Raw genomic sequence first — 27,007 nt, 5'->3', positions numbered from 1 at the left:
CTTAATTTTACTGTTTGCCTTAAAAGAGGCGTTTTCTCTTACCTCTGGGCTTATGTACATGCCTTCTTTCCACCTAGATTTCTCTCCCTCCTGCCCTCTCCCTGCCTCTCTTTTAGGCTTCTGTTTTTATGTGACTTCTTCTTGGACTGTCTGCCTGTGACTGTGTTCTGAAGGCATGGTTAGATGGGAACCTCAGGCTCCAGATTATGGTTTGTGAATTGCTTGGTGGATCATCTGTTTCCTTGAACTTTTTGAGGACAGAAACCATGTGCAGTGTTGTGCTGCTGAACTTAGCACAGGCCTGGAGTGTGGCATGTGCTCAATAAATAATTGTTACACAAATGAATGAACAACTTCAAAAAACTTCCTTTTGGACTACACATCCATATCTTCCTGAGAAGTGCAAGTAGTTCTCTCCTCTGCCGTAAGGGATGCTTCTGTGGAAAACTTTGAGAAGCACTCTTAGCTCTCTTCTTCCTTCTCTCCTCAGACTTGGGTTTCTCAGTTCTTTGGTTTCAAGGCAATGATTTAGGGCATGCTCCACAACTACCCAATTCCCCATCTGTCCACAACACTTAGCAGGATGAAGTAGACAGAGTATTGTACTAGAAATGAGATGACCTAGTTCTATCTGGGTTCCATGCTGTGGAATTTTCAACAAGTCATTAAAGCTTCCTGAGCCTCAGCTTCCTCAGCTCCATAATGGGTATAATAATCTGTTCCTCATTTCTTCAAGGGGTTGCTATTAAGATCAAATAAAATAAAAAATGTGCAATTGCTTTGCAATTGTGACACATGCGGAATCCGATACAGATGAAAACCTGGGAAGAGCATCAGTAAATTCTTAAGCCCCAAGCAGTCTCCTGAGCCCAAGATCAGAACTTCTGTCTCTTAAACATCTTCTCTAGACTCTCCAGACACGTGTCTAAAACTTAAGTCATCATCTCTGTTTCCGCTATGTATTGCTATTTAACAAGCTGCCACAATACCGTGGCTTAAAATAATAACAATGATTTACTTTGCCCACAGATTTGGGGGAAGACTGTTCATCCTGTCTCACTTTCATGTGCTTTTCATGTGCTTGCAATCAGATCATGGTGTGGCCTAGAGTCATGCAAGGCTCTTCACTCACAGGGCTACTGCCTGAACAGAGGGAGGCTCAAAGTGCTGGGTGGCTAGTGCCACTCAGCAGAAGCCTCCCAGAGTTGGTGTCCCAAGAGAAATAGGCAAATGCTGCATGGTCTTTTCTAAGCTAGCTTTGCAGGTCACACTTCCGGTGTATTCCATTCATTGAAGCCATCACCGAGCCTACTCAATTTCAAGGTGAAGGGGCACAAAGTCCATCATTTGATGAGAGGACCATCAAAAAATTTACAGACTTAAAAAAAAATACTACAATCCTTCTTCCCCCAAACCTACTGCTCCTCCACTGTTCCCCACCTCTATAAATGACATCTCCACTTGTCTAGTTGCTCAGGCCAGAATTCTAGGAGTCATCCTTGCTTCTTTTCTCTCCCTTGCTTCTCATGCCCAATGAGTAAGTCCTGTTAATTCTACTTTCAAAAATATCTCTCAAATATGTCCAATTCCATCCAGCCCCATGCTACCTATCTCAGATCAAGCCACCATTTTCTCTTATCACCAATTTCCACAATGATCCACTATCCTAACTGCTCTATTTACTGCATTCTCTCTAGCTAACCTGTTCTCTACCCTGCTGTCGGTATACATTTTCTAAAATGGTTCTCTGTTTGCATCACTCTTCTGCTTAAAATCTTTAGTGGCCACTGTGGGAAATGAGAAAGCAGAAGCTGTGAGCCTAAAGTTCACATTTCATAATGAGCTCACTTGCTACCCTCCTTAGTCTATGTCCTAGCCAGTGAGCTACTTCCTACTCCGCAAATGAATTTCATTTTTGTGTTTCTGGGCGTTTGATTCTTTTTCCCTCTTGTTGGAATATTCACTACCCCCAGTCGTCATCTTTCCCTGGTTTCATCCCACTTAGGCTAATTCCTCGTACAGAAGCCATTCTCAACCCCCAAATTCAAGTGAGGTGCTCCCTTTTATATGCCCTCTAAGCATTCCGTATTTTCCTTTTCCTAACACTTATCACCAATAGCGAAATCATCTGATTAATTTTGTTGATTCACTGGAATGAAGCTCAAGGGAAGGAGCCACATCTATCTATTGCACCCTTACAGAGCCAAGCACATAGTAACTGCTTACTGCATAGTTATTCGATGAGTGAATACATGAGGAAGTTCATGTACGCATGTATGCATGGAGGGATGGGTGGATGGAGGGAGGGAGCAAAGGAAAGAAGGAAGGAATAAATTTTGAGTCATTGTTTCAGTCAAGCTGGGGTCTCAGAGTAGCTCTTACTGGCCCTGATAAATTCTTTCTCCCATTTCCCACAGTGGCTATTTCAAACTTTCACCCTATCCTCAAGGCCCCTTACCTCAGTCCTCTGCCCTCTCAGCAAAGCATGTGCCTCCTTCTTTGCAGAAGAAATCGAAACTAGAGACCATTAGGCAGGAAGCCCTTCAACTTCCTGCCCACTATCTTCAAACTGGTAACTTTTCTCCACCACCAGCTGTCTTTCCTCCTTCTCTTTTCCCTCAGAGGATGAAGTGTCCCTCCTCCCAGTCAAGACCTGTGCCACTAACTCTGCTCTGAGTCCCACTAGCCCAGGCTCGTCAATCACCTCCCTTCTCTTCATGTCTTCCCTCCACTGAATCCTTTCCTTGGCCTACCATAGCTTAGGTCTTTCCCTACTTGAATAACAAAAACAAAATACTCTCTACTTTTTCATGACCCTTTACATACCGCCCTACCATTCTTTTTCCCATTCAAATTGCAACGTCTGAAGAGAAGAGTCTATTTTTATTGTTTCTCCTTCCTCACCTTCAGATTGCATTGCAGTGTTGCCCACTGAACTCATTATAGTTCCCATCTCAAAAAATAGTAGCCTGCTCAGCTTCTCACCAAGACACAAACCTGAGGTCTTGGTAGCTATTGCAAAATTACTTCCTAAAAAGGGTTGTACAGGCTTGTTAAATATTTAATCTTATGAGAGAGCTTCAGGTAACTCTGTCTCCACATCCTTAACACTCATCTTCTTTTCTTCCTTAAGAGTTTTACTAGAAACCATGTGTTTTGTTTTTATTATTTTTATTTTTCTCAATATATGAGGAAACCAAAGAAGCCAACCATGTGTCTTGTTTTATTGGAGTAACCGGAACTTACTCTTTAAAACCTTTCCCTTTCCTGGGGAGACTCTATGGTCCTGGGATTATGACTTCCTTTGATCTGAATTTTTTCCCGTTACAATTCTGTTTTTCTACAGACTAGAAACATGGGCGGGCACAGACAGGATCTGGTTCTATTTCTTCTTCTTTTTTTTAAAAGTGAAAGCGAGTTCATTAAGAAAGTAAAAGAATAAGATCCAACTTTGTTACTTTATCCCAATCATCCAGACATATCACCAAATACTTCCTGTTAGAATTAAATCAAAATAGTAGTTTTTTAAAAGGTTGCTTCAGCTACTTCCTAAAAAGTGGAATTGTTAAGAAGGCAAATCAAGATTTTATCAGCAGTTAATCACTTCTTTATTTCTCGGTAAGAAGTTACAGCCAACCATCAGGACAGCCTTTTTGGAATTGTTACACATGGGTGGTTAAGGAGGGAGAGAAGAAAGATACAATACTGTATGCTTACCTGTCATCAGCACTCATAATATACTGAAATTGGCTGAGCATGGTGGTTCACACCTGTAATCCCAGCACTTTGGGAGGCCGAAGCAGGTGGATCACCTGAGGTCAGGAGTTTGAGACTAGCCTGACCAACATGGTGAAACCCCGTATCTACTAAATACAAAAAATTAGCCCGGCGTGGTGGTGCATGCCTGTAATCCTAGCTACTTGGGAGGCTGAGGCAGGAGAATTGCTTGAACCTGGGGGGTGGAGGTTGCAGTGAGCTGAGATTGCACCACTGCACTCCAGCCTGGGTGACAAAAGTGAAACTCCATAAAAAAAATTATATATATATAAGTGATCTGTCTGGTGTTACTACCTGCCTCTGTCATCAGACAGTGGATTGTGCTATCTTCCTGAGTGTAAGTCTGAGACATCCTGGGGAGTCTGCCAAAGATGACCTAGCTCAGTACTTCTCAACCAGGGTGAATGTGGGAGAATTTTGTCCCTCAAGGGACATTTGGCAATATCTGGATACATTTTTGGCTGTCACAACTGGACAAGTGTTACTGGCACCTAGTGGGCAGATACCAGGAATGCTGGCAAACATCTTACAATGCACAGAACAGCCCCCTACAAAAAAGAATTATGTGGCCCAAAATGTCAATAATGTCAAGACTGAAAAACATTGATCTAGACTGCCTATTATGACCGCTTCTATTAATTCATGTGGAAACAACTAACAGAAGGAGAACAAATCTGGAATATGTCTAGTGATTTTAAACTCCTAGAAAGAATGTCCTCCTAGGCTGTATGCTCCAAGAGGCCAGAGACTGTATCTGCCTTGCTGACAGCAGAGTCTAGCACAGCGCCAGGCATGTTGTGGTTGTGCGATGACTGTATTCATGTAATCCATTTTACAAAACATATCTTAAACATTAATTAGACCACAGCCTCTGTCTTCTCTAACATCCCCTTCATCACATTTCTGTTTTTGTTGGGTGGCATCTCAGTTATGGGCATTTTGAGGTCTGGCCAAGGGGAAGTAGAAATGGGAAGTACTTAGTTGGGGTTAGTGGGATACATGTATGAGGGTTGAACTTATTCTGTCAGAGGGATTATAGGGCATGGGCTGGACCAATCAGAAGCACTGTAGAAATGAATGCCTAGGTATTTCCGTGTACAAACCAGGACAGGGTAAGTGCTTAATAAACATTTGTTGAATAGATGGATGAATGGTTGGAAGGCTGAATGAACAGGAACTTGAAAGCCCTGGGGTCACAGACATTTTTATCTTTTAGTGGTTGAGAATGTTTTTGGAAATGATGGATATGTGGAAAGTGAACAGCTAGTATATATCATGTTGAAGAGTACAACTGAGTTTTTGTGCGGCAGCATATGACACCAGAGTGATATAGGACATATTTCCTCTTCTTCTACCTTTAGCTTTTATTCCACAGCTCTTGTTTAGCCTTTGTATACATATTCTAAGTTCTCCCTCCACAAAAAGGACCAATGGACCTCCCTTCATCTTGTACTTTGTCCTTATCATCTTTTCTTTCTCCTTATCTTAACCAAACCAGGTTTTTAAAAATGACCTGAGGCTTATATAATTTGGAGTATTCTCATGAAAAAGAAAAATAATAAAAGAACAAAACTGGAAATACAAATAGGAACAAAAATAAATTCAATTAGAATAAAAAAAAAGAAATCCCAGGGAATTAGTTCAGGTTAAAAAAATACAAATACTACAAAGAACATGACAGCATAAAAAATAGCAGCATAATTTTAGTTAATTAAATGCCTTCGTGCTTCCACAATACTTTGCTACTGAATAGCTCTGGCTGTTGTTCACTTCCAACCTGCTTTCTCCTCTGCTTCCCACCTGCAGCCCGATTGCAACATGTCCATGGCCATTGCCAGTGAGTCAGTGCAGAGGGCAGCAAGAATATTCCTGGATGCCATTTCTTCACTGAAGTGGGTAGCGGGAACTTCACACACAAGAGTTTGCAACCCTCATACATGTATCCCGCTAACCCCAACTAAGTACTTCCCATTTCTACTTCCCCTTGGCCAGACCTCAAAATGCCCATAACTGAGATGCCACCCAACAAAAACAGAAATGTGATGAAGGGGATGTTAGAGTAGACAGAGGCTGTGGTCTAATTAATGTTTAAGATATGTTTTGTAAAATGGATTACATGAATACTGCTAGGGCTCCTCCAGGGCCATCCAAGAAGCCCTGAAGCTTCAGCTTCATCACTTTCACGGGAAATCTGCCTCTGATCCAAACTTTGTGAAACAATGGTTTATACAGTCTCCACTTTGTTACCTTCTAATAACTTGCTTCTAAATACATTGTAAATGCACACACAAGACATGAGCCACTTTTACAGGAAAGCATTTTTTTTTTACAGGACAAGACATTATTAATAAAGCTAAAATGTATCTACTCTCTCCAATCTCACTCCCTCTCTGACTGTGTCTCTCAACACCCAATCCCCTTGTTCACTCCACACTACCCACTCGCCACCTCCTTGCTGTTGTTTATGTATGGCAGGCAAATCCCTGCCCCAGGGCCTTTGCTCTGGCTCTTTCCTCTGTCTGGGTCCCTCCTACCCCAGATACCCTCTTGGCCACCTCTCTCCTCCAAGTCTTTACTCAGATGTGACCTACTTATCACCTTATAAATGAAGTTCACCCTTTTGCCCCTACCAGTACTTGTGACTCCCCTTACCTTATTCTAGGTTTTCTCCTCTGTCATGGCAGTTATCATCTCCTTACATACTATACAGTGTGTTCTGTTAGTGTGTTGATTGCTTACGTTTTTTCACCCCACTCTAATGCAAGCTCTGTTAAGGTAGGGATCTTTGCTGCATGTACCATAGATATGCTAATTCTTCTCTCTTCAAACCTCCAGCATCAGCTAATGGCTCCAGGACCAAACTACACTTTACCTATCATTCTCCAGGCCATCCCCCATCCACTACAGCCCCTCACCCTCCTGTCGTTTCGGGTCCTAAACCGGTCTGCATCGATATGCGCTGTTCAATCTTACCTTTTTTAAAAGAATTTAGGGATGCTTGTACTCAGTATGGTCCTACTTCTCCTTATGTTAAGATGGTTTTACAAACTTTTCGTACTGAAGTCACTTACTTCCCTTAGATTGGGACCTTTTGGCAAAAGCTGTTCTAACCCCATCTCAGCATTTACAATTCCGTATTCCATACCTGGTGGTCAGAAGAGGCCCATTTGCAGGCTCAGCTAAATAGCAGTAATGGCATTCTAATTACTCAGGCTCAGCTCACAGGCTCCGATAGTTTCTCTGATGCTTATGCCCAGTTAAACTTTGATGCCCTTACCACAGAACAAGTAACAAAGGTGTGTATGAGAGCTTGGGATAAATTACACGCTCCAGGCCAAGCTCCTGTTCCTTTTACCATAGTTAAACAAAGTCACTCTGAATTATACCCAGATTTTTTGGCTAAATTACAAGATGCTGTTCAAAAATCTGTCTCTGATGAGCGCACTCAAGGCATTCTCCTTTATATGTTAGCTTTTGAAAATGCAAACCATGAATGTAAAATGGCCATGCATTCTGTCCAACGCAAAATTTACCTGATCACGAGGTGTTGCCTGCATATATTAAAGCTTGTGAAGGCATTGGATCAGATACCCACAAAGCTATTCTGTGGGCACCGGCCATGAAGGACACCAACCAAACTGGTCCCATTAATTCTTCTCTTGGAGCCTGCTATAATTGTGGCCAACTTGGTCATATTCAAAAAAGTTGCACTGTTAAAAACTTACAAGCGGCCAAGTCGGTTCAACAAACATGGCCAAATGCTGCTCCTACTGTTTGCCCACGTTGTCGCAAAGGTAAACATTGGGCAAATGTTTGCCGCTCTAGGTATAATGTAGATGGAAACCCCCTACCACAACACCAGGGAAACAGGGAGCGGGGCCTGGGATGGACCCGACATCAAATAGGACACTTCAAACTCAGACCAACATTGCGTTTCCACTTCAGGCAGTCCCAGTGCAACCCCCAGCACAAACAAATCTACCTACAACCAAACCAAATAGGTCCCAGCCTCTACTTCTGTCTCAGTACAATGCTTGTCCTCCTCCACAGTAGGAGGCGGGGTGGTTGATCTCTTTAGTACTATTCCTCTAAATTTACTTCCTGATTCTTTGCCTTTGATTGTCCCCACGGGGGTCACTGGCCCTTTACCTCAAGGTTCAGTGGGCCTGGTGTTAGGTAGAGCATCCACCTCTGCTAAAGGATTCACCATTCATACTGGTCTCATTAATTCTGATTCTGTTGATGAGATTAAATTAATTGTGTCTGCCAAGTTTCCTATTTCCATTGCGTCTGGTGAGTCAGTTGCTCAACTGCTTTTACTACCTAATATCATTTTAAACAAAGGCGATAAGACATGTGGCCCTGGGATAGGCTCCGGCGGTGAAAAGGCCACTTACTGGATTAATGTAATTTCTAAACAACGGCCCACCTGCATCATACACATTCAAGGAAAAAAGTTTGAGGGCCTAGTAGATACTGGTGCCGAAGTTTCTGTTATTTCCTCTAGTTTATGGCCTTCCTCTTGGCTTAAACATCCCACTAAGGTAGGACTAGTAGGTGTTGGAAAGGCCGAGGAAATTTATCAGAGCACATTTATCTTGCTTTGCACTGGCCCTGATGGTCAAAAAGGTACAATTCAGCCCTATATCATGCCAATTCACATTAATCTTTGGGGTAGAGATTTACTGGCAAAATAGAGGGCTGAAATTAATATTCCACATAACTCTTCTAGTGCTCCCAGTCAGCATATGATGGAAAATATAAGGTTTGTTCCTGGATTACCAAACCCCTCCCAGTCACTATAAAAGAAAACAGGGCTGGTTTAGGTTATTCTTTTTAGTGGCAGCCACTGCCATACCTCCTGATCCCATTCCCTTACAATGGAAACCTAAAACTCCCGTTTAGGTTCAGCAGTGGCCGCTTTCTAAAGAAAAACTGGAGGCTTTAAATCAATTGGTTTCTGAGCAGTTGCAACTTGGATATGTGGAACATTCTCTTTCCCCTTAGAATTCTCCTGTGTTCCTAGTAAAAAAGAAATCAGGCAAATGGCGGATGGTAACCGATTTAAGGGCCATTAATGCTGTAATTAAACCTATGGGGGCCGTCCAACCTGGCTTTAATACCTAAAAATTAGCCTCTCATAGTTATTGATCTTAAAGATTTTTTTTTATATTGCTTTACATAAATCAGATTGTGAAAAATTTGCTTTTACTGTACCATCTATCAATAATCAGGAACCTGCAGTTCATTATCAATGGAAAGTACTTCCTCAAGGAATGCTAAATAGCCCTACAATCTGCCAGCTTTATGTTGGGCAAGTGCTTTCACCAGTTCAAGCCCAATTTCCCGAGGCCTATATTCATCATTATATTGATGATATTTTAATTGCTGCCCCCACTGATAAAGAATTGACTGTTACCAAATTTTGAGCTGCTGTGTTATAGAGGCTGGATTACACATTGCTCAAGATAAAATTCATCAGACCACTCCTGTTCAATATTTAGGAATGGTGGTCGATAAACAATGTATTCAACCTCAAAAAGTTCAAATTAGGAGAGATTCTTTAAAAACTTTAGATGACTTCCACAAACTTTTAGGTAACATTAATTATTTAAGACCTACTTTAGGCATTCCAACCTATGCACTGTCTAACTTGATTTCTATGTTGCGGGGAGATTCCAATCTCCACAGCGCCAGGATTTTGACCTCTGAGGCTTTAATAGAACTGGAATTTGTAGAAGAAAGAATCCAGACTGCCCAGTTATCTAGAGTACAGCCATTTCAGCCTTTTCAGCTTCTAGTTTTTGCTTCATTACACTCCCCTACTGGACTAATAGTTCAACATAATGATTTAGTGGAGTGATGTTTTCTTCCTTATTCTGTCTCAAAAACTTTGTCTGTTTATCTAGACCAAATAGCCATATTAATTAGACAGGCTTGGTGCAGAATACTTCAAATTTCTGGATTTGATCCAAATATAATTGTAGTTCCTTTAAATTGGCTCAAAGTTCAAGCTGCCTTTCAACATTCTGTACTGTGGCAAATTCACTTGGCTGATTTTATTGGCGTTATTGACAATCATTATCCAAAAAACAAATTATTTGATTTTATAAAAATGACTTCTTAGGTGGTTCCTCGATTAACCAAAAATCAACCCATTCCTGAGGCCGTTACAGTGTTCACTGATGGCTCCAGTAATGGCAATGCTGGCTATGTAAGTCCTACAGACAAACTTATTTCTACCTCTTATACTTCTGCTCAAAAGGCGGAGTTAATTGCTGTGATTACTGCCTTACAGGATTTCCCCAAACCTTTAAATATTGTCTCATGAAGGGGTGGGTTGCCCCTCCACACCTGTGGGTGTTTCTCATAAGGTGGAACGAGAGACTTGGAAAAGAAAAAGACACAGAGACAAAGTATAGAGAAAGAAATAAGGGGGCCCGGGGAACCAACGTTCAGCATATGGAGGATCCCGCCAGCCTCTGAGTTCCCTTAGTATTTATTGATCATTCGTGGGTGTTTCTCCGAGAGGGGGATGTGTCAGGGTCACAAGACAATAGTGGGGAGAGGGTGAGCAGACAAACACGTGAACAAAGGTCTTTGCATCATAGACAAGGTAAAGGATCAAGTGCTGTGCTTTTAGATATGCATACACATAAACATCTCAATGCTTTACAAAGCAGTATTGCTGCCCACATGTCCCACCTCCAGCCCTAAGGCAGTTTTTCCCTATCTCAGTAGATGGAATGTTCAATCGGGTTTTATACTGAGACATTCCATTGCCCAGGGATGGGCAGGAGACAGATGTCTTCCTCTTCTCTCAACTGCAAGAGGCATGCTTTCCTCTTATACTAATCCTCCTCAGCACAGACCCTTTACGGGTGTTGGTCTGGGGGATGGTCAGGTCTTTCCCTTCCCACGAGGCCATATTTCAGACTATCACATGGGGAGAAACCTTGGACAATACCTAGCTTTCCTAGGCAGAGGTCCCTGCGGTCTTTCGCAGTGTTTGTGTCCCTGGGTACTTGAGATTAGGGAGTGGTGATGACTCTTAATGAGCATGCTGCCTTCAAGCATCTGTTTAACAAAGCACATCTTGCACCGCCCTTAATCCATTTAACCCTGAGTTTGACACAGCACATGTTTCAGAGAGCACGGGGTTGGGGGTAAGGTCATAGATTAACAGCATCTCAAGGCAGAAGAATTTTTCTTAGTACAGAACAAAATGGAGTCTCCTATGTCTACTTCTTTCTATACAGACACAGTAACAATCTCATCTCTCTTGCTTTTCCCCACATTTCCCCCTTTTCTTTTCGACAAAACCGCCATCGTCATCATGGCCCGTTCTCGATGTCACTGTCTCTTCGGAGCTGTTGGGTACACCTGCAGACTAACAACAGACAAAACAGGCACACAATGATTAATATGAGATTTATAATCATAGTACTTCTGATGGTCTTAATCCAAGTGACAGGGTTAAGATTTGCGAGGCCATCAGCAACTCCTGCAATTGCCTCAGTTCCTGGCACCAAATTTAAATGGGCTTTTGATGCTTCGAAAATTTGTTCTTTTAATTTGGAAATGTCTAAAGTGAGATTATCTTCTCTTCCCTGTAGATGGCGTCTAACCATGTCCCAGTGATGCTCAGACTCATTATAAATTTGGGGTGTAATACAAAAATCTGACGTATTCCAGTCACACTGTAACTGGAAATGATGTTCTAAGGTCATGAGCCTGTCTCCCATCCAAATGACAGTTTGTCTAAGATCATTAATTTGACTTGCCAATTTTTGATCAATACTAGATTGTGAATTCCACAATCTTGTAGAATTCTTTTGCCAATAATTAACAAAGTTTACTGACTGAACAGAAGAGTGCAATGCAACTCCTGCCACAGCAGCCGTAGCTGTGACTGCAATTAATCCCATAATCACTGCAATTAAAGTAAAAATGAATCTTTTGGATCTATTTAAAATGCCTTTTAATATTTCAGTCAAAATATGGATGGATGGCGAGGCCTCCCACGGTCGGTCCGTGGACACAGGGATCCACATGCCTTCTCTTGCTCTCACCAGCAGAATACGGTGCTGCCAATTAAAAGTTGAATCAATGCAAGTAAACAATCTACAATTTTCACAGGTTATAGTTTGGGAGGCTGGTTTAATAACTATATTTCCTACAACTAGCATATAAGGGGGCTTTATGCAACTTTGTAAAGGAACCGTTAGAATGGAATTTAGGTCGATAGTATAAAATGGCTTACGATATCTTGTTTCTAAAGTTTGATTTCCAGACCAAATTCTAATGTGGTGTGAGGCCACAGTAAGCCTCCACAATTCTGGATGTTCAGGACCAGAAACAGGACTTATTATTTTTGGTCTTGGGGTAGAGATTCCTTTTTCTTCCCATTCCCAAAGGTAGAAAGACTGTAATTTTTTATGCTTATGTTTGTCTAGACTTTCTGTTAAGTCGCTATCAACAGCTGGACTCACTTGTGCACTTGGACACGACTGAGTTTGTCCTGAGCAATTGTGGTAGAATTGACCTCGAGGTGCCCAATCTATAATAGTTTCGAATTCATTGTTTTGTAATATCACCACACTATTGGCCACACATTCTTCCCAAACTAAAACTTCTGTATTCTTTGATCCTTTAGGAATTTCCTTGGGGCAAGTTTTCCCTTTAGGTCTAAATTTTAATGATCTTTGATAAGAAAAGTCTTGTAAATAATTTACCCGTGGCCTGAGTGACATCCCGCTTACCATGTGATAAGTGAATCTACTGTTAGGACTGACAGTAGGTACTTCTACCAACCAATTTTGGACTGCAGGCATTAAACATCCTGGTGCTCTCCCTAGGCAAATAGGAGGATAATGATACCCAATGGAAATATTTATCATCATCCCTTCTTCCTCAGGTTTGGCAGGGCAGCGATCATCTGTGGGGCCAGGTACCCATACACTATCATTAACATATACTTCTATAGGATTATCCATCCATGTGACTGGTGTTACCATCTCCGTGGAGGCGCTTTTCTTTGCATCTCTGATGGGTTCATTGTAGAACTTCAAATGTCTAGTGGGTATCCAAACAGGAAGCTGATTTTCTCCTGGTGAAACACAAGCAAAACCTCTCCCCCACGTTATCAGCTTCCCTATTTCCCATGTCTTATTTTAATTATCTTTCCACTAAATTAGTTTTCCTTCATGTGGGCTGTTCTTTTTACCAGTAAGATGTTCTGCAGAAGTAGTAGTCTGATTTCTATAAATGTTTAAAAAATTTAAAGTATAGAGTGCTAGATTAAGTTGCATCTGAGGAGTGGTACACTCCTTACTGTCTCCCCCTTCTTTTTGTTTAACTAATTGAGTTTTGAGTGTTCTATTAGTTCTTTCAACTATGGCCTGTCCTTGGGAATTATAAGGAATTCCTGTTGTATGTGAAATTTTCCACTGACTTAAGAATTTTTGGAAAGCTTTACTACAATATCCTGGTCCATTGTCAGTTTTGATTTTTTCTGGAACTCCCATTACAGCAAAACAAGACAATAAATGTTTTTTAACATGGGAAGTACTTTCTCCTGTTTGGCAAGTTGCCCACATGAAATGTGAATAAGTATCAACTGTTACATGACATATGATAATCTTCCAAATGAAGGTACATGCGTGACATCCATTTGCCATAATGCATTAGGACACAGACCTCTGGGTTAACTCCTGCCTCTTGAGTGGGCAGGTCTAAGACTTGACACTGGGTGCAATGTTGTACAATATCTTTTGCCTGTTTCTATGTGACATCAAATTTGTTTTTTAATCCTGCTGCATTTACATGAGTCAAAGCATGAAGTTCTTGTGCTTTTATGAATGCAGATGATACCAGTAAGTCAGCTTGTTCATTTGCTTTAGTCAAAGGCCCTGGTAAATTAGTGTGTGCTCGAATATGAGTAATATAAAATGGGAAGTTTCTTTTTCTTACAGTTTGTTGTAATAAATTGAATAGCTGGTTTAACTGATCGTCCATGCTATATTTAATTAGAGCTGTCTCAACATCCCTTGTAGCCTGTACTACATATGCAGAATCTGATATAATATTGATAGGTTGATCAAAATCTTGTAACACTGTAATGACTGCAACCAACTCTGCTCTTTGAGCCGATTGATATGGAGTTTTGATTACTCGTTCTTTTGGCCCTGTGTAAGCCACTTTTCCATTGCTGGAACCATCAGTAAATACTGTTAGAGCATTTTCTAAAGGTTCACATCTGGTAATTTTAGGTAGAATCCAAGTAGTCAATTTTAAGAACTGGAAGATTTTTGTTTTTGGGTAATGATTATCAATAATTCCCACAAAATTAGCAAGACCAATCTGCCATGCACCAGAATTGATAAAGGCTTGTCTAACTTGTTCCTTGGTTAAAGGGACAACTATTTTGTCTGGGTCATTTCCACATAATTTTATTATTCGTAATCTTGTCGGACCAATTAAAGTAGCTATTTGATCCAAGTACAATGTAAAAGTCTTAACTGTACTGTGAGGAAGGAATGACCACTCCACAAGATCAGTATTTTGAATAATGATGCCTGTTGGAGAATGTGCAGTGGCAAAAATCAAAAGTTGGAGTGGGGCTAAGGGATCTATTCTATTTATTTGCGCTGACTGAATTTTTTCTTCCACTAATTTAATTTCTTTTGTTGCCTCTGGGGTTAACATTCTTTTACTATTTAAGTCTGAGTCTCCTCTTAAGATAGAGAACAAATTTGACATGGCATAAGTAGGAATGCCTAGAGTTGGCCGAATCCAATTAATATCTCCCAGCAATTTTTGAAAATCATTTAGTGTTTTTAATGTGTCTTTTCTTATTTCTATTTTTTGTGGCTTAATTTTTCTATTTTCTATCTGCATCCCTAAATAATGAAAAGGAGTAGAGGTTTGGATCTTATCAGATGCTATTGCCAGTCCTGCATTGGCAACCTCTGCTTGCAGAAATGTATAACAGTCAATTAATTTATCTTTCGTTTCTGCAGCACATAAAATATCATCAAAATAATGAATAATATAACAGTCTGAAAACTTGTCTCTAACTGGTTGAAGAGCTCGACCTACAAAAGTCTGACAAATAGTTGGACTATTAAGCATTCCCTGAGGTAACACTTTCCACTGAAACCTGGTGGCTGGTTCTTTATTATTTATGGCTGGTATAGTAAAGGCAAATTTTTCACAATCCTGCTCTGCCAGAGGGATGGTAAAAAAGCAGTCCTTTAGATCAATTATAATTAAAGGCCAATCTTTTGGGATCATGGCTGGAGAGGGCAACCCAGGTTGGAGAGGCCCCATGGGTTGAATTACGGCATTTACAGCCCTTAAGTCAGTTAACATACGCCATTTGCTGGATTTCTTCTGAATTACAAACACAGGAGAATTCCAAGGCGAGAATGAAGGCTCAATATGTCCCTTTTCTAACTGTTCATTTGCTAATAAATGTAAAGCCTCCAGTTTTTGTTTTGGTAGCGGCCACTGATTTACCCACACCAGTTTTTCTGTTTTCCAAGTTAACGGTATGGGTTTAGGAGGCTCTACAGTGGTCACCCCTAAAAAGGATACCCTGTTCCTTCTCTTCCGTGATTTATTTTAGCCTCAATTGGAACTTTAATGCCATCTTCATTTTTTCCTAGTCCCTTTCCTGGTATATATCCCATCTTGGTCATGATTTTTTGACTCATGGGGCTATATAATGTAGCGGTCATGGTGATTTCCGCACCCCATTGTTGTAACAAATCTCGACCCCACAGATTAAGAGGAATTGAAGTGATCATTGGCTGAACAGTACTTTCTTGATTATGTGGCCCTAAGCAATGTAAAATCTCAGTACTCTGATACACTTCTGAGGCTGTGACTATGCCGACAAGTCCTGTAACAGTCTTTTGTTTAGGCCAATTTTTTGGCCACTGATTTAAAGCAATGATAGAGACATCTGCTCCAGTGTCTACCAATCCTTCAAGCTGTTTTCCTTGAATAACGGCCTTACACACAGGTCTGTTCTCTGAGACCTGACTTGCCCAATATGCAGCCTTTCCTGTCGGATCAGTGCTTCCAAACCCTCCTGTTCTTTTTATTTCACTATTTCCAACCTTAATATATGGCAGGAGTAATAATCGAGCAATCCTGTCTCCTGGACTGGCACTCCAAGGAATTGAAGAGCTAATAACCAATTGAATTTCACCTTTATAGTCTGAATCAACCACACCAGTATGAATTTGAACTCCTTTTAGATTTAGACGTGATCTTCCCAAGATTAGTCCTACAGTCTCCTCAGGCAGCGGGCCATATACTCCTGTGGGGATTTTTTGTGGGGGCTCCCCTGGAAGCAGAGAGACTGCTTGTATAGTACATAAATCTACTGCTGCACTGCCACTTGTGGCGGGGGACAATTGTTGTACTGTGGTAACTGGCTTATTCCCTGAGGTACTTGGGACAGTGGGGGTTGTTGTCCCTGAAAACCCTGAGGAACAAAGGGCTGAATTGGGAATGCCCCAGTTTGTTGCAGGGCCTGAGGCTGGCCCCTTTGCTAGTTTCCCGACAATGGTTGCCCATTTTTATCAAATTTGGAACGACATTGACTAGCCCTTTTGGTAGTTTCCCGACAATGATTGCCCATTTTTATCAAATTTAGAATGACATTGACTAGCCCAATGTTTTCCTTTTTTACATCTTGGACATAAGTCAGGTGGCTCTCTACCTGTTGTTGTAGTAGCTTGAATAGTTATATTCTGTTTATTTAAGACTGGGCAATTCTTTTTTAAATGACCAATTTGACCACAATTATAACATTTTCCTCCAAATGTTCTAACTTGTCCTCCTAAAACAACTCCTGTTATTGCTTGGGCCATAAGCATAGCTTTATGCGTAGCTCCTCCAATTCCATCACGGGCTTTTACATACTCTGAGATTACATCTGATCCTGCGGGAACCTTTCCTTTTAATGGCTTAATGGCTGATTGACACTCAGGATTGGCGTTTTCGTATGCCATCAACTCCACTATGACCTTACGGGCTTTTTCACTGGCAATTGACTTTTGAGCAACATCTTGGAGCCTTGCCACAAAATCAGGGTAGGGCTCTTTTGAACCTTGTCTTACTGTATTAAATGTGGAGCAGGCGCTTCCTGGGTCTTGGATTTTTTCCCAGGCTCTAAGGCAGATAGCTCTAACTTGCTCAATGGCCTCATTTTGCATTAATGCTTGTTGACTAATAGTGCTCCAATTTTGACCTGTTCCTAATAGTTGATCTGCATCTATGTTAACTGGAGGATTGGCAGCCCTATTTCTTCGGACCTGTTCTTGTGCCCCATCAATTCACCAAGTCTTAAATTGTAAAAATTGAGAGGGTGAGAGAGATGATTTTGCCAGAATCTCCCAATCATAAGGAATGAGTCTATGTCCATGAGCAATGGAATCTAATAATGTCCTCATATAAGGGGAGTTGGGTCCATACTGTTTTACTCCCTCTTTCATATCTTTTAGCATTTTTATCTAAAAAGACTTGTATCTGGCCTCAACTGTGAGAGGCTCTCCCTCTTGGGCTCCTTCTCCAGGTGGCATCGGTTCTAACGTTACTGGGAATTGCCACGCCTCAGTATCTCCTTCCTTTCTTGACTTCTCAATAATTTCATGTAATTCACTACCCTGTCTACTAGGTGGTGCCATAGGATTGTCTCCTAGTGGGCGGCTGAGGGTATGGCTCCCTGCCCTGTGGTGCTGGGGGCATTCCTAGATATCCATACTGACTTTCTGGGGGTGGCCGATACTGAAGTTCGGCCGGTGGCCAGTATTGATAAGCTACTGGCAGTTGGGTCTTATTTTCTCTAACCTGCGCTTGAGGTTGTAATGTTACGGTCACCTGACCTGCTGAAAGAGGACTTGGCCCTCGTGGTTTAGACTCTAATGGCCCCACTAATTCTGGACCTTTTCCTTCTAATTTTAATGTTTCAGGATATATCACCTCCTGTAATTGATTATAGTCAACATTTTGCGTTGACTGAGCCATTAACGGCTCTGCTACATATTCGCAATGTAAAGTTTCCGTTTCCTTCTGGGATTTTTTCCTTGTCTTTTCATTACAATCTATTATACAGCTTCCAGGGGCATCAGAAACTGAAACGCTATCTTCTGTTTGAAATGGTTCTAAAGCTGCTTTAATAATGGGCCAATCATTCCATACTGTAAGTGGAATGATATTACCCTTCCTACCTGCTTGTTTTAGTTCCTTACCAATTCTTTTCCAATCTTCTAGATCTAAATTTCCTTGTTCTGGAAACCATGGGCAAAATTGTTCTGTTGTTTGAAATAGCTTGATTAGATTTTTGGTGGATACTCTAACTCCCCCTCTTTTTAAAAGAATTTTAATGAAGCTAAGATAAGAGGCATATTTACTTTTAGTTTTAGTTTGCCCCATTGTCACCCTAGCTTCTTCCGAGTGCACAAGCTTACCGTAAGGCTGACTGTAGATGTACTCGGGATCTCTTGTCGACTTGTCCTCAATGACCACGCTCGAGTGTACCTTCACCCCAGAGAAAAGCCTCCACGTTGGGCACCAGATGAAGGGGTGGGTTGCCCCTCCACACCTGTGGGTGTTTCTCGTAAGGTGCAATGAGAGACTTGGAAAAGAAAAAGACACAGAGACAAAGTATAGAGAAAGAAATAAGGGGGCCCGGGGAACCAACGTTCAGCATATGGAGGATCCCACCAGCCTCTGAGTCCCCTTAGTATTTATTGATCATTCGTGGGTGTTTCTCCGAGAGGGAGATGTGTCAGGGTCACAAGACAATAGTGGGGAGAGGGTGAGCAGACAAACACGTGAACAAAGGTCTTTGCATCATAGACAAGGTAAAGGATTAAATGCTGTGCTTTTAGATATGCATACACATAAACATCTCAATGCTTTACAAAGCAGTATTGCTGCCTGCATGTCCCACCTCCAGCCCTAAGGTGGTTTCTCCCTATCTCAGTAGGTGGAACGTACAATCGGGTTTTATACCGAGACATTCCATTGCCCAGGGATGGGCGGGAAACAGATGCCTTCCTCTTGTCTCAACTGCAAGAGACATGCTTTCCTCTTATACTAATCCTCCTCAGCACAGACCCTTTACGGGTGTCGGGCTGGGGGACGGTCAGGTCTTTCCCTTCCCACGAGGCCATATTTCAGACTATCACATGGGGAGAAACCTTGGACAATACCTGGCTTTCCTAGGCAGAGGCCCCTGCAGGCTTCCGCAGTTTTTGTGTCCCTGGGTACTTGAGATTAGGGAGTGGTGATGACTCTTAATGAGCATGCTGCCTTCAAGCATCTGTTTAACAAAGCACATCTTGCACCGCCCTTAATCCATTTAACCCTGAGTTTGACACAGCACATGTTTCAGAGAGCACGGGGTTGGGGGTAAGGTCATAGATTAACAGCATCTCAAGGCAGAATAATTTTTCTTAGTACAGAACAAAATGGAGTCTCCTATGTCTACTTCTTTCTATACAGACACAGTAACAATCTGACCTCTCTTGCTTTTCCCCACAGTCTCAGATTCCGCTTATGTTGTACATGCCACTAAAAATATAGAAACTGCTACTATCAAACATATTGATAATTCTGAATTGGCTTCTTTATTTTCAAGGTTACAACAGGTGGTTCACCAGTGTAGACACCCTTCCTATATTACACATATTAGGTCTCATACCACTTTACCAGGACCCATGTCTGCTGGTAACCATGAAGTTGACTGTTTGGTGTCTTTAATGACCCAAGAAGCTCAGGAGTTCCATAATCTCACTCATGTCAATGCCACTGGCTTAAAAGATAAATTTGCTCTTACCTAGAAACAGGCTAAGTTTATTGTTCACAGCTGCCCTCAGTGCCAGGTCTTCGTACTTCCAAATCAGGAACCTGGTGTTAAGCCTAGAGGCCTAACTCCTAATGCTTGATGGCAAATGGATGTGACTCATGTTAGCTCCTTTGGCAGACTGTCATATGTGCATGTCTCAGTAGATACCTTCTCAGGTTTTATCTGGGCTACTTGACAAACAGGGGAAGGCACGGCCCATTTTTAAAAACATCTGTATTCTTGCTTTGCAGTTATGGGGCTTCCATATCAAATAAAGACAGACAATGCCCCTGGATATGTTAGTAAGGCTTTTGATTCATTTATACAACAGTAAGGAATTTCCCATATTACTAGAATCCCTTACAATCCTCAAGGACAGGCTGTGGTGGAACAGGCCAATCGCACTTTAAAAACCCAATTGTCCAAACAGTCTGAACAACCAAAACATGATTTAACTACTCCACACTCCCAATTACATTTGGCATTATTTACTTTAAATTTTTTAAATGTTCCTAAAGATAATACTGTAACTGCAGCCAAACGCCATTATACAGGCAAAAAATTTTCCATAAACGAAGGCAAGTCAGTGTTATGGAAAAACTCTCAAACCAATACCTAGGAACCTGGCACAATTATAACGTAGGGAAGAGGATATGCTTGTGTTTCACCAGGAGATCATCAATCCCATGTCTAGGTACCCACCAGAAGACTCAAGCTTCAGGTGAATACTGACAACTAAAACCACAGACAAAAAACATCTGTGTCAGAGATTGCCTTCAGACGTGGTGAGATCTCTGCTGACTCCTCAGAAACAGGCACACCAAATCACAATAGGTGTAAATCAATCCTCCCTGATGGCAGTGGAGACCCATCTAACTAATCCCACTTCTCCTGATTACTTTTCTTTTTCTCCTTACAAACCTAAAAATCTCACCATTTCTATTAGCCTGAAAATAACATCCCTCTGTTCTTCTCTTCCTCCTTCAGCACTCAATCTCACTTACACTAGGTTTTATTTAATGATTCTCCTCCTTATACTTTCTGTCTCACCAGTTTCCTCTCACACTGATTTACCTGCTACACATAATTATTCTTATTAGGCTTATGTGCCTTTTCCTCCACTTATTCGACCTCTCACCTAGATAGATGCTCCTGCAGAAATCTACACTAATGATAGTGTGTAGATGCCTAGAGCCACAGATGACCGTTGCCCTGCTCAACCAGGAGAAGAAGGCACTGCATTTAATGTTACCATAGATTATAAATACCCCCCTCTGTGCCTCGGACATGCACCTGGTTGCATCCACCTAGAAACTCAATTCTAGGCTGCTTATCTTCCGAAAACATCAGCTACAGATAAAATAGGACATTTAGTCTCTGGCCTCTCCCTTTCTCCTTTAAAACAAATGAAAGGAGAAGTAATGGGAGATACCCCATACTTTCAATATAAACCTGCAGGAAAACCATGCCCTAAAAATTTTGAGGGCCCATCTAAAACTTTAATTTAGGATGATTGTGTTAACTCACATGCAGTAATATTAAAAAATGACTCATATGGTTTAGTAATAGACTGGGCACCAAAGGGCTATTTAAAAAATAATTGCTCCTCTAGTGGAAGGGAATTCCTGGAGGCTAATTATTTTATTTCTTATCAGGAGAACGAGAATCATCATTCTACTTTGCATAGGAGGATCAGCTCATTCTTTCCCTTAAAATGGGAAGATAAAGGCATTACCCGCCCCCCAAGCCTCGTATGATACTCCCCATTCTGAGCCCAGAACACCCAGAACTTTGGAAATTGGCTATTGCCATGTCTGGACTGCGAGTATGGGAAGGGAAAACTATTTTGACTGTTGTTCCCACTACTGTCCCACTCTCTCAGTATCAACATAGACCCAGACATTCTGCTTTACTTACCTCCAACCTGACTATTCCCATACAGAGTTGTGTTAAGCCTCCTTACATGCTGTTAGTAGGAAATATTAAAATTTGGACAAATAATCAAACTTTCCAATGCATTAATTGTCATCTATACACTTGTATTAACTCCCATTTTGACTCCAGGAAAAGTGTAATGTTGGTTCGAGTTTGAGAAGGAATCTGGATTCCAGTAACTTTACCTAGACCTTGCGAATCCTCCCCCCAATACATTTAATTAATGAAGTGCTACAGCAAATTCTAAAAAGATCTAAGAGATTTGTTTTCACTTTAATCGCTGTTATCACGGGCCTAATTACAGTCACTGCAATGGCCACCACTGATGGAATGGCATTACATCAATCTATTCAAACGGCTCATTTTGTTAATGATTGGCAAGCCAATTCCACCCAAATGTGGAATTCTCAACAAGGCATCCATCAAAAATTGGCAAGTCAAATTAATGATTTAAGACAGTCTGTTATTTGGCTTGGAGATCAGGTAGTGAGTCTCAAACATCACATGCAAATGCAGTGCGATTGGAATACTTCAGATTTCTGCATCACCCCGTATTCCTATAATGAGACTGATCATTCATAGGAAATGGTCAAAGGACACCTTCTAGGTAGAGAAGATAATTTATCATTGGACATAACTAAATTAAAGAAACAAATTTTTGAAGCCTCTCAAGCTCACTTATCCATCATGCCTGGAGCTGAGGCATTAGATCAGGTGGCAGAAAATCTTTATGGATTAAACCCCACTACTTGGATTAAGTCTACTGGGGGCTCCACTGTAGTAAATTTTGGAATATGTTTCTGTGTTTAATCAGCTTGTTTTTAGTGTCCCAGACCACTCAAAGAATCCTGTGTCAAAATCAAGAGAATGAACAAGCCTTCATTGCCATGGCACATTTATATAAAAAGAAAGGGAGAGATGTTGCAGGAAGTCAGGGACCCCAAATGGAGGGACCGGCTGAAGCCATGGCAGAAGAACGTGGATTGTGAATATTTTATGGACATTTATTAGTTCCCCAAATTAATACTTTCATAATTTCTTATGCCTGTCTTTACTGCAATCTCTAAACATAAATTGTAAAGATTTCATGGACACTTATCACTTCCCCAGTCAATACCCTTGTGATTTCCTATGCCTGTCTTTACTTTAATCTCTTAATCCTGTCAGCCAAGGAGGATGTATGTCACCTCAGGACCATGTGATAATTGCATTAACTGCACAAATTATAGAACACGTGTGTTTAAACAATATGAAATCTGGGCACCTTGAAAAAAGAACAAGATAACAGCAATGTTTAGGAAACTAGAGAGATAACCTTAAACTCTGACCACCGGTGAGCCAGGCAGAACAGAGCCATATTTCTCTTCTTTCAAAAGCAAATGGGAGAAATATCGCTGAGTTCTTTTTCTCAGCATGGAACATCCCTGAGAAAGAGAATACGCGCCTGGAGGTATAGGCTTATAAACAGCACCCCCAGGTGCTCCTGTCTCTTATGGTCGAAACTGCAGAGGTGAAATAGACTCCAGTCTCCCATAGCACTCCCAGGCTTATTAGGAAGAGAAAACTCCTGCCTAATAAATTTTGGTCAGACTGGTTGATCTCAAAACCCTGTCTCCTGATAAGATGTTATCAATGACAATGGTGCCCGAAACTTCATTAGCAATTTTAATTTCACCTCGGTCCTGTGGTCCTGTGATCTCGCCCTGCCTCCTCTTGCCTTATGGTATTCTAATACCCCGTTAAGTACTTGATGTCTGTCACCCACACCTATTTGCACACTCCCTCCCCTTTTGAAAATCTCTAATAAAAACTTGCTGGTTTTTGTAGCTTGTGGGGCATCACGGAACCTACCGACATGTGATGTCTCCCCCAGATGCTCAGCTTTAAAATTTCTCTCTTTTGTACTCTGTCCCTTTATTTCTCAAGCTGGCCAATGCTTAGGAAAAATAGAAAAGAACCTATGTGAATATCAGGGCAGATTCCCCGATAGCTGCTTAGTTCATTGATGTATCCCAAGTGTCTCAAATAGTGCCTGACAGATAGTTCTTAACAAATATTAGCTTTTAATCACCCTTTGGCTTACCCTAGTGGTCATCTCCTCCAAAGAGATTTTTCTTAGTATTTTCTCCATTTTCTATCCCTACCCTCCGGATAGGAATATATTCCCATAGCACACTGTGTTTATTGTCAGGAGTCAGGAAATGATGCCCTAAAATGATGGCCTCAGAAGCAGCCTCAGAAGTGAAAGTTTTTCTCTGACCTTCTCCTGCCCTCCTGTCTATCAGTCCCATTCTCCCCTAGGCTAGCCATAGACACTGGAATCCCTCTTTCCCAAGGTGGGCCATAGAAGCCAAAACCCCTTTTCCCCAAAGCCAGCCATAAAATTTAAATATACCACCCTAACTTTCCTTGAGCCTTTCTCTGTAAAAAAAAAATAGCTATAAAGAAATTATCTGACCTATCTTGTTTGATTGTGAATCATAAGACCCCCATTCTAGAGAGGGCCTGACCCACACACGGGAGGAAGGAAAGAATCTGGCACAGAAAGGCCAAGCAGAATCTAGAAAGATAGGCCTTGCTGGGTTTCCCGCAGTCAGTCTATTGGCATTCAATCATACCCTTTTTGTCCAATCATATTTCTCCATGACTGTCCATACTTTGTTGAACCTAAGCATAAAAATGGACAATTTGCCCTGTATCTTTGGCTCTTCATTAGGAAGGCTCTGCTTACACGTTAAATTGATCTGTATGCCTTTCCTCCTTAATCTGCCTCTTGTCAGTGATTTTTGGCAAACCTTCAGAAGGTGAAGGGGAAGCTTTCCCTTGGTCCCCACGTTACCTTTATTATAGTCATCAAGATAATATATTAGGATTATTTGTTTGTGTGTTTGTCCTCCCACATTGGTATATTAAATATTTTTAAACAGAATCATGTACTTTTTATGTCTATGCCTCTAGGGACTAACAACATGCTTACTGAAATGAGAATAGACAGGAAACACAAGACCAGAGCAGAGATATGACTTGTCATCAGTTTATTTGAAAGTCTACTGGTATGAGAGTAAGGGAGAGAGCCAGGCCCAACCTCAGTTGGCCTTACTCAATTCTTTCATTTTCTGGGGACAGTACTAGATTAATTATAAGCAGCATCCCCTTCCCCCATGCCCACTTTTCAAGCTTCAACTTTTCTTGAGTTCCTAAGCAGGAGACCTGGACCTCCAGTGAAAACCATACTCACTGCTCCTAAGCAGAAATCCCTTCCTTCTCACCTGTTCCACCAGCCCAGGCTATACCCTGGGCCTGTCAGCAACACTGCCTCCTCTAGCGCAGGTCTCACTCTGAATCTCATTGGCAGGTCACTTGGTACATATGACCGTGGTCTCCGGCAGCAACGTGACTCTGAACATCTCTGAGAGCCTGCCTGAGAACTACAAACAACTAACCTGGTTTTATACTTTCGACCAGAAGATTGTAGAATGGGATTCCAGAAAATCTAAGTACTTTGAATCCAAATTTAAAGGCAGGGTCAGACTTGATCCTCAGAGTGGCGCACTGTACATCTCTAAGGTCCAGAAAGAGGACAACAGCACCTACATCATGAGGGTGTTGAAAAAGACTGGGAATGAGCAAGAATGGAAGATCAAGCTGCAAGTGCTTGGTGAGTCAGGGGAGCCAAAGAGCAAATCCCCACTCCAGTGGCCCCAGATGGACCACTGTAGGGCTTCCTGGGAGGCATGGGGCACTCTCGGGGAGGAGGAGAGAAAAACCTCAGGACAGGTTTGATTCATTTTTCCTTGATCCAATTCTATTTGGGAGTGAGCCTAGGTCAACAGATATCCAAATTAACAATCTTAGGACATTTAACACCTCTTCTGAAGTTAGTGAGTCTAAGCTTTGAAGAGAAGGAAAACTAGAGATTTTTCCTATTTCCTTCATTTTGTCCTGTGATCAACCTAAATCAGCTCAGCTCATCTTGATTATATCTCCGAAATTAGGCTTCATTGGACTTAAGAAAAAAGAGAATGTATTAATATAAAGAATGGGGCAGGAGTTATCAGGAGAATTTTTCAACTTTCATAATGGGCAGGACAAAAAAACTTCCACTCATAGCTCCAGTCTAACCAGTGTATATGGAATAAGGACTCAGGCATTATACCTGGAGCCAGACAGACTTGGGTTCAAAACTGGTCAGTTGCTCACTAGCTGTGCAGCCTTGAAAAAAGATCTTCACATCTCTGTGCCCATATTAGGTAAGATTCTTTTGATAGCAAATAACAGAAACTAATTCAATGTACCTTTACCAAAAAAGGAGAATTTAGTTTAAGAAACTAGGGCTATTTAAAGCAATTCAAAGAGTTTAAAAGAGCTAGGAAGGGCTTAAGGGGAGAAGATTGAAAACCAGGTTCGGGCCAGAACCCCTAGCTTCAGGAATCTGTGGACTGTGCCTATGGATTTGGATTCCTGCCATTTTACACATGTTATCTCTCAAAACTTAGACTTTTGCTCCTCTGAGTTTCAATTCTCAGGGCAATTTAAAGAGAGAGAAACTGATAGTCCCAATTTAGTTCAGGTGTGTGTACCTGATCTAAACATTTTTGGTGAAAGGATCAGATTATAGGGCAGAAACATGGATATGGGGAGGGGCTCCAGGGGTTGGGGTATGCAATTCTTGTAGAAGAGCGGGGCTAAATAATCCAAGAGTGGTGTTCCCTTGAGAGCCTTGGGTTCTTCATCATATTATGAGAATAATTCTACTTACCTTTCAGGATGTTATTAGAGTCAAAGTAGATAAGGAAAGTGAAAACATTTTTTAAAATGTCAAAACATGCAAATGAAGAGTGTTGTATACATTCAAGTTCCACCAGCCAGACAGTCCCTGATCCAAGCAGTCAGATTCCCCTTCTAACTCTTCTTCCATGTCATATGGGCTGAAAATTCAGAAAGTCCTGGGAACAAAAAGATTCAAGGTCTCTTACAGTGGTGTTCTGGTTAACAAGCTCTACAAGATTTAAAAAAAAAAAAAAAAGCCCTAAAGCGTAGCATTTACCAACTTTGTAATTTCTGTGGTTTAAATACTGCTACCACAGTTGATTTCAATAAACTAATGGTTTCACAAAAAGCTTGCAAAATTTCTGAGTACTTAAAAATCCACAAACTGGCTTGGGCTTCAGCACATCCTGCCTGAGGGTAAGATTTCCAGGAAGTGATTAGCAGAAAAAATGGTCCTCTGGTCCAGCCCAAGCATTTCTGACAGCTCAAAGCGAGCATCTTGGAGCTGGACAACCCAAGCTGGCTCAATTAATTCCATCAGCAAAGTGCCCAGTGCTGTGCTGATCACCATGGGAAATGCAGAAGGAGTGTAAGATATGAGGCTAGAACACAGGAAATGGTGAAAACCAGGATAAAAATTGCTCAATTAAAACATATAGG

The 27,007-nt window shown here is 41.4% G+C and overlaps 2 protein-coding genes across 6 annotated transcripts in view, besides 1 other annotated feature; one reads left to right on the top strand and one right to left on the bottom strand.

Annotated features, from left to right (window-relative positions):
- Window positions 1–27,007, top strand: part of CD48 (CD48 molecule) — a 33,077-nt gene that overhangs the window by 1,701 nt on the left and 4,369 nt on the right. For 4 of the 5 annotated variants that reach the window (XM_005245625.1, NM_001778.4, XM_047435011.1 and 1 more), the window contains exon 2: window positions 24,933–25,235. The exons of the other annotated variant lie outside the window; for it this stretch is intronic. In XM_005245625.1, coding sequence (XP_005245682.1) covers window positions 24,933–25,235 — 303 coding nt within the window. The remainder of the gene's footprint in view (window positions 1–24,932; window positions 25,236–27,007) is intronic. 5 annotated transcript variants of the gene reach the window in all.
- Window positions 1,328–1,397: an enhancer, noted in NCBI's record as "active region_1945". NCBI's record gives its function as "activates an Ori minimal core promoter by ATAC-STARR-seq in GM12878 lymphoblastoid cells {active_cell/tissue: GM12878}" and the evidence as "EXISTENCE:reporter gene assay evidence [ECO:0000049][PMID:35858748]".
- On the bottom strand, window positions 4,764–26,916 carry LOC124904439 (endogenous retrovirus group K member 18 Env polyprotein). Its single transcript, XM_047438433.1, has one exon. It carries the CDS (start codon window positions 12,792–12,794, stop codon window positions 11,112–11,114), a length of 1,683 nt encoding a protein of 560 aa, XP_047294389.1. The 5' UTR covers window positions 12,795–26,916; the 3' UTR covers window positions 4,764–11,111.

Source organism: Homo sapiens, chromosome 1 (genome assembly GCF_000001405.40).
Source record: "Homo sapiens chromosome 1, GRCh38.p14 Primary Assembly".
Lineage (NCBI taxonomy): Eukaryota > Metazoa > Chordata > Mammalia > Primates > Hominidae > Homo > Homo sapiens.
The sequence above is the reverse complement of the archived record's forward strand: the minus strand, read 5'-3'. Positions and strand labels throughout refer to the sequence as shown.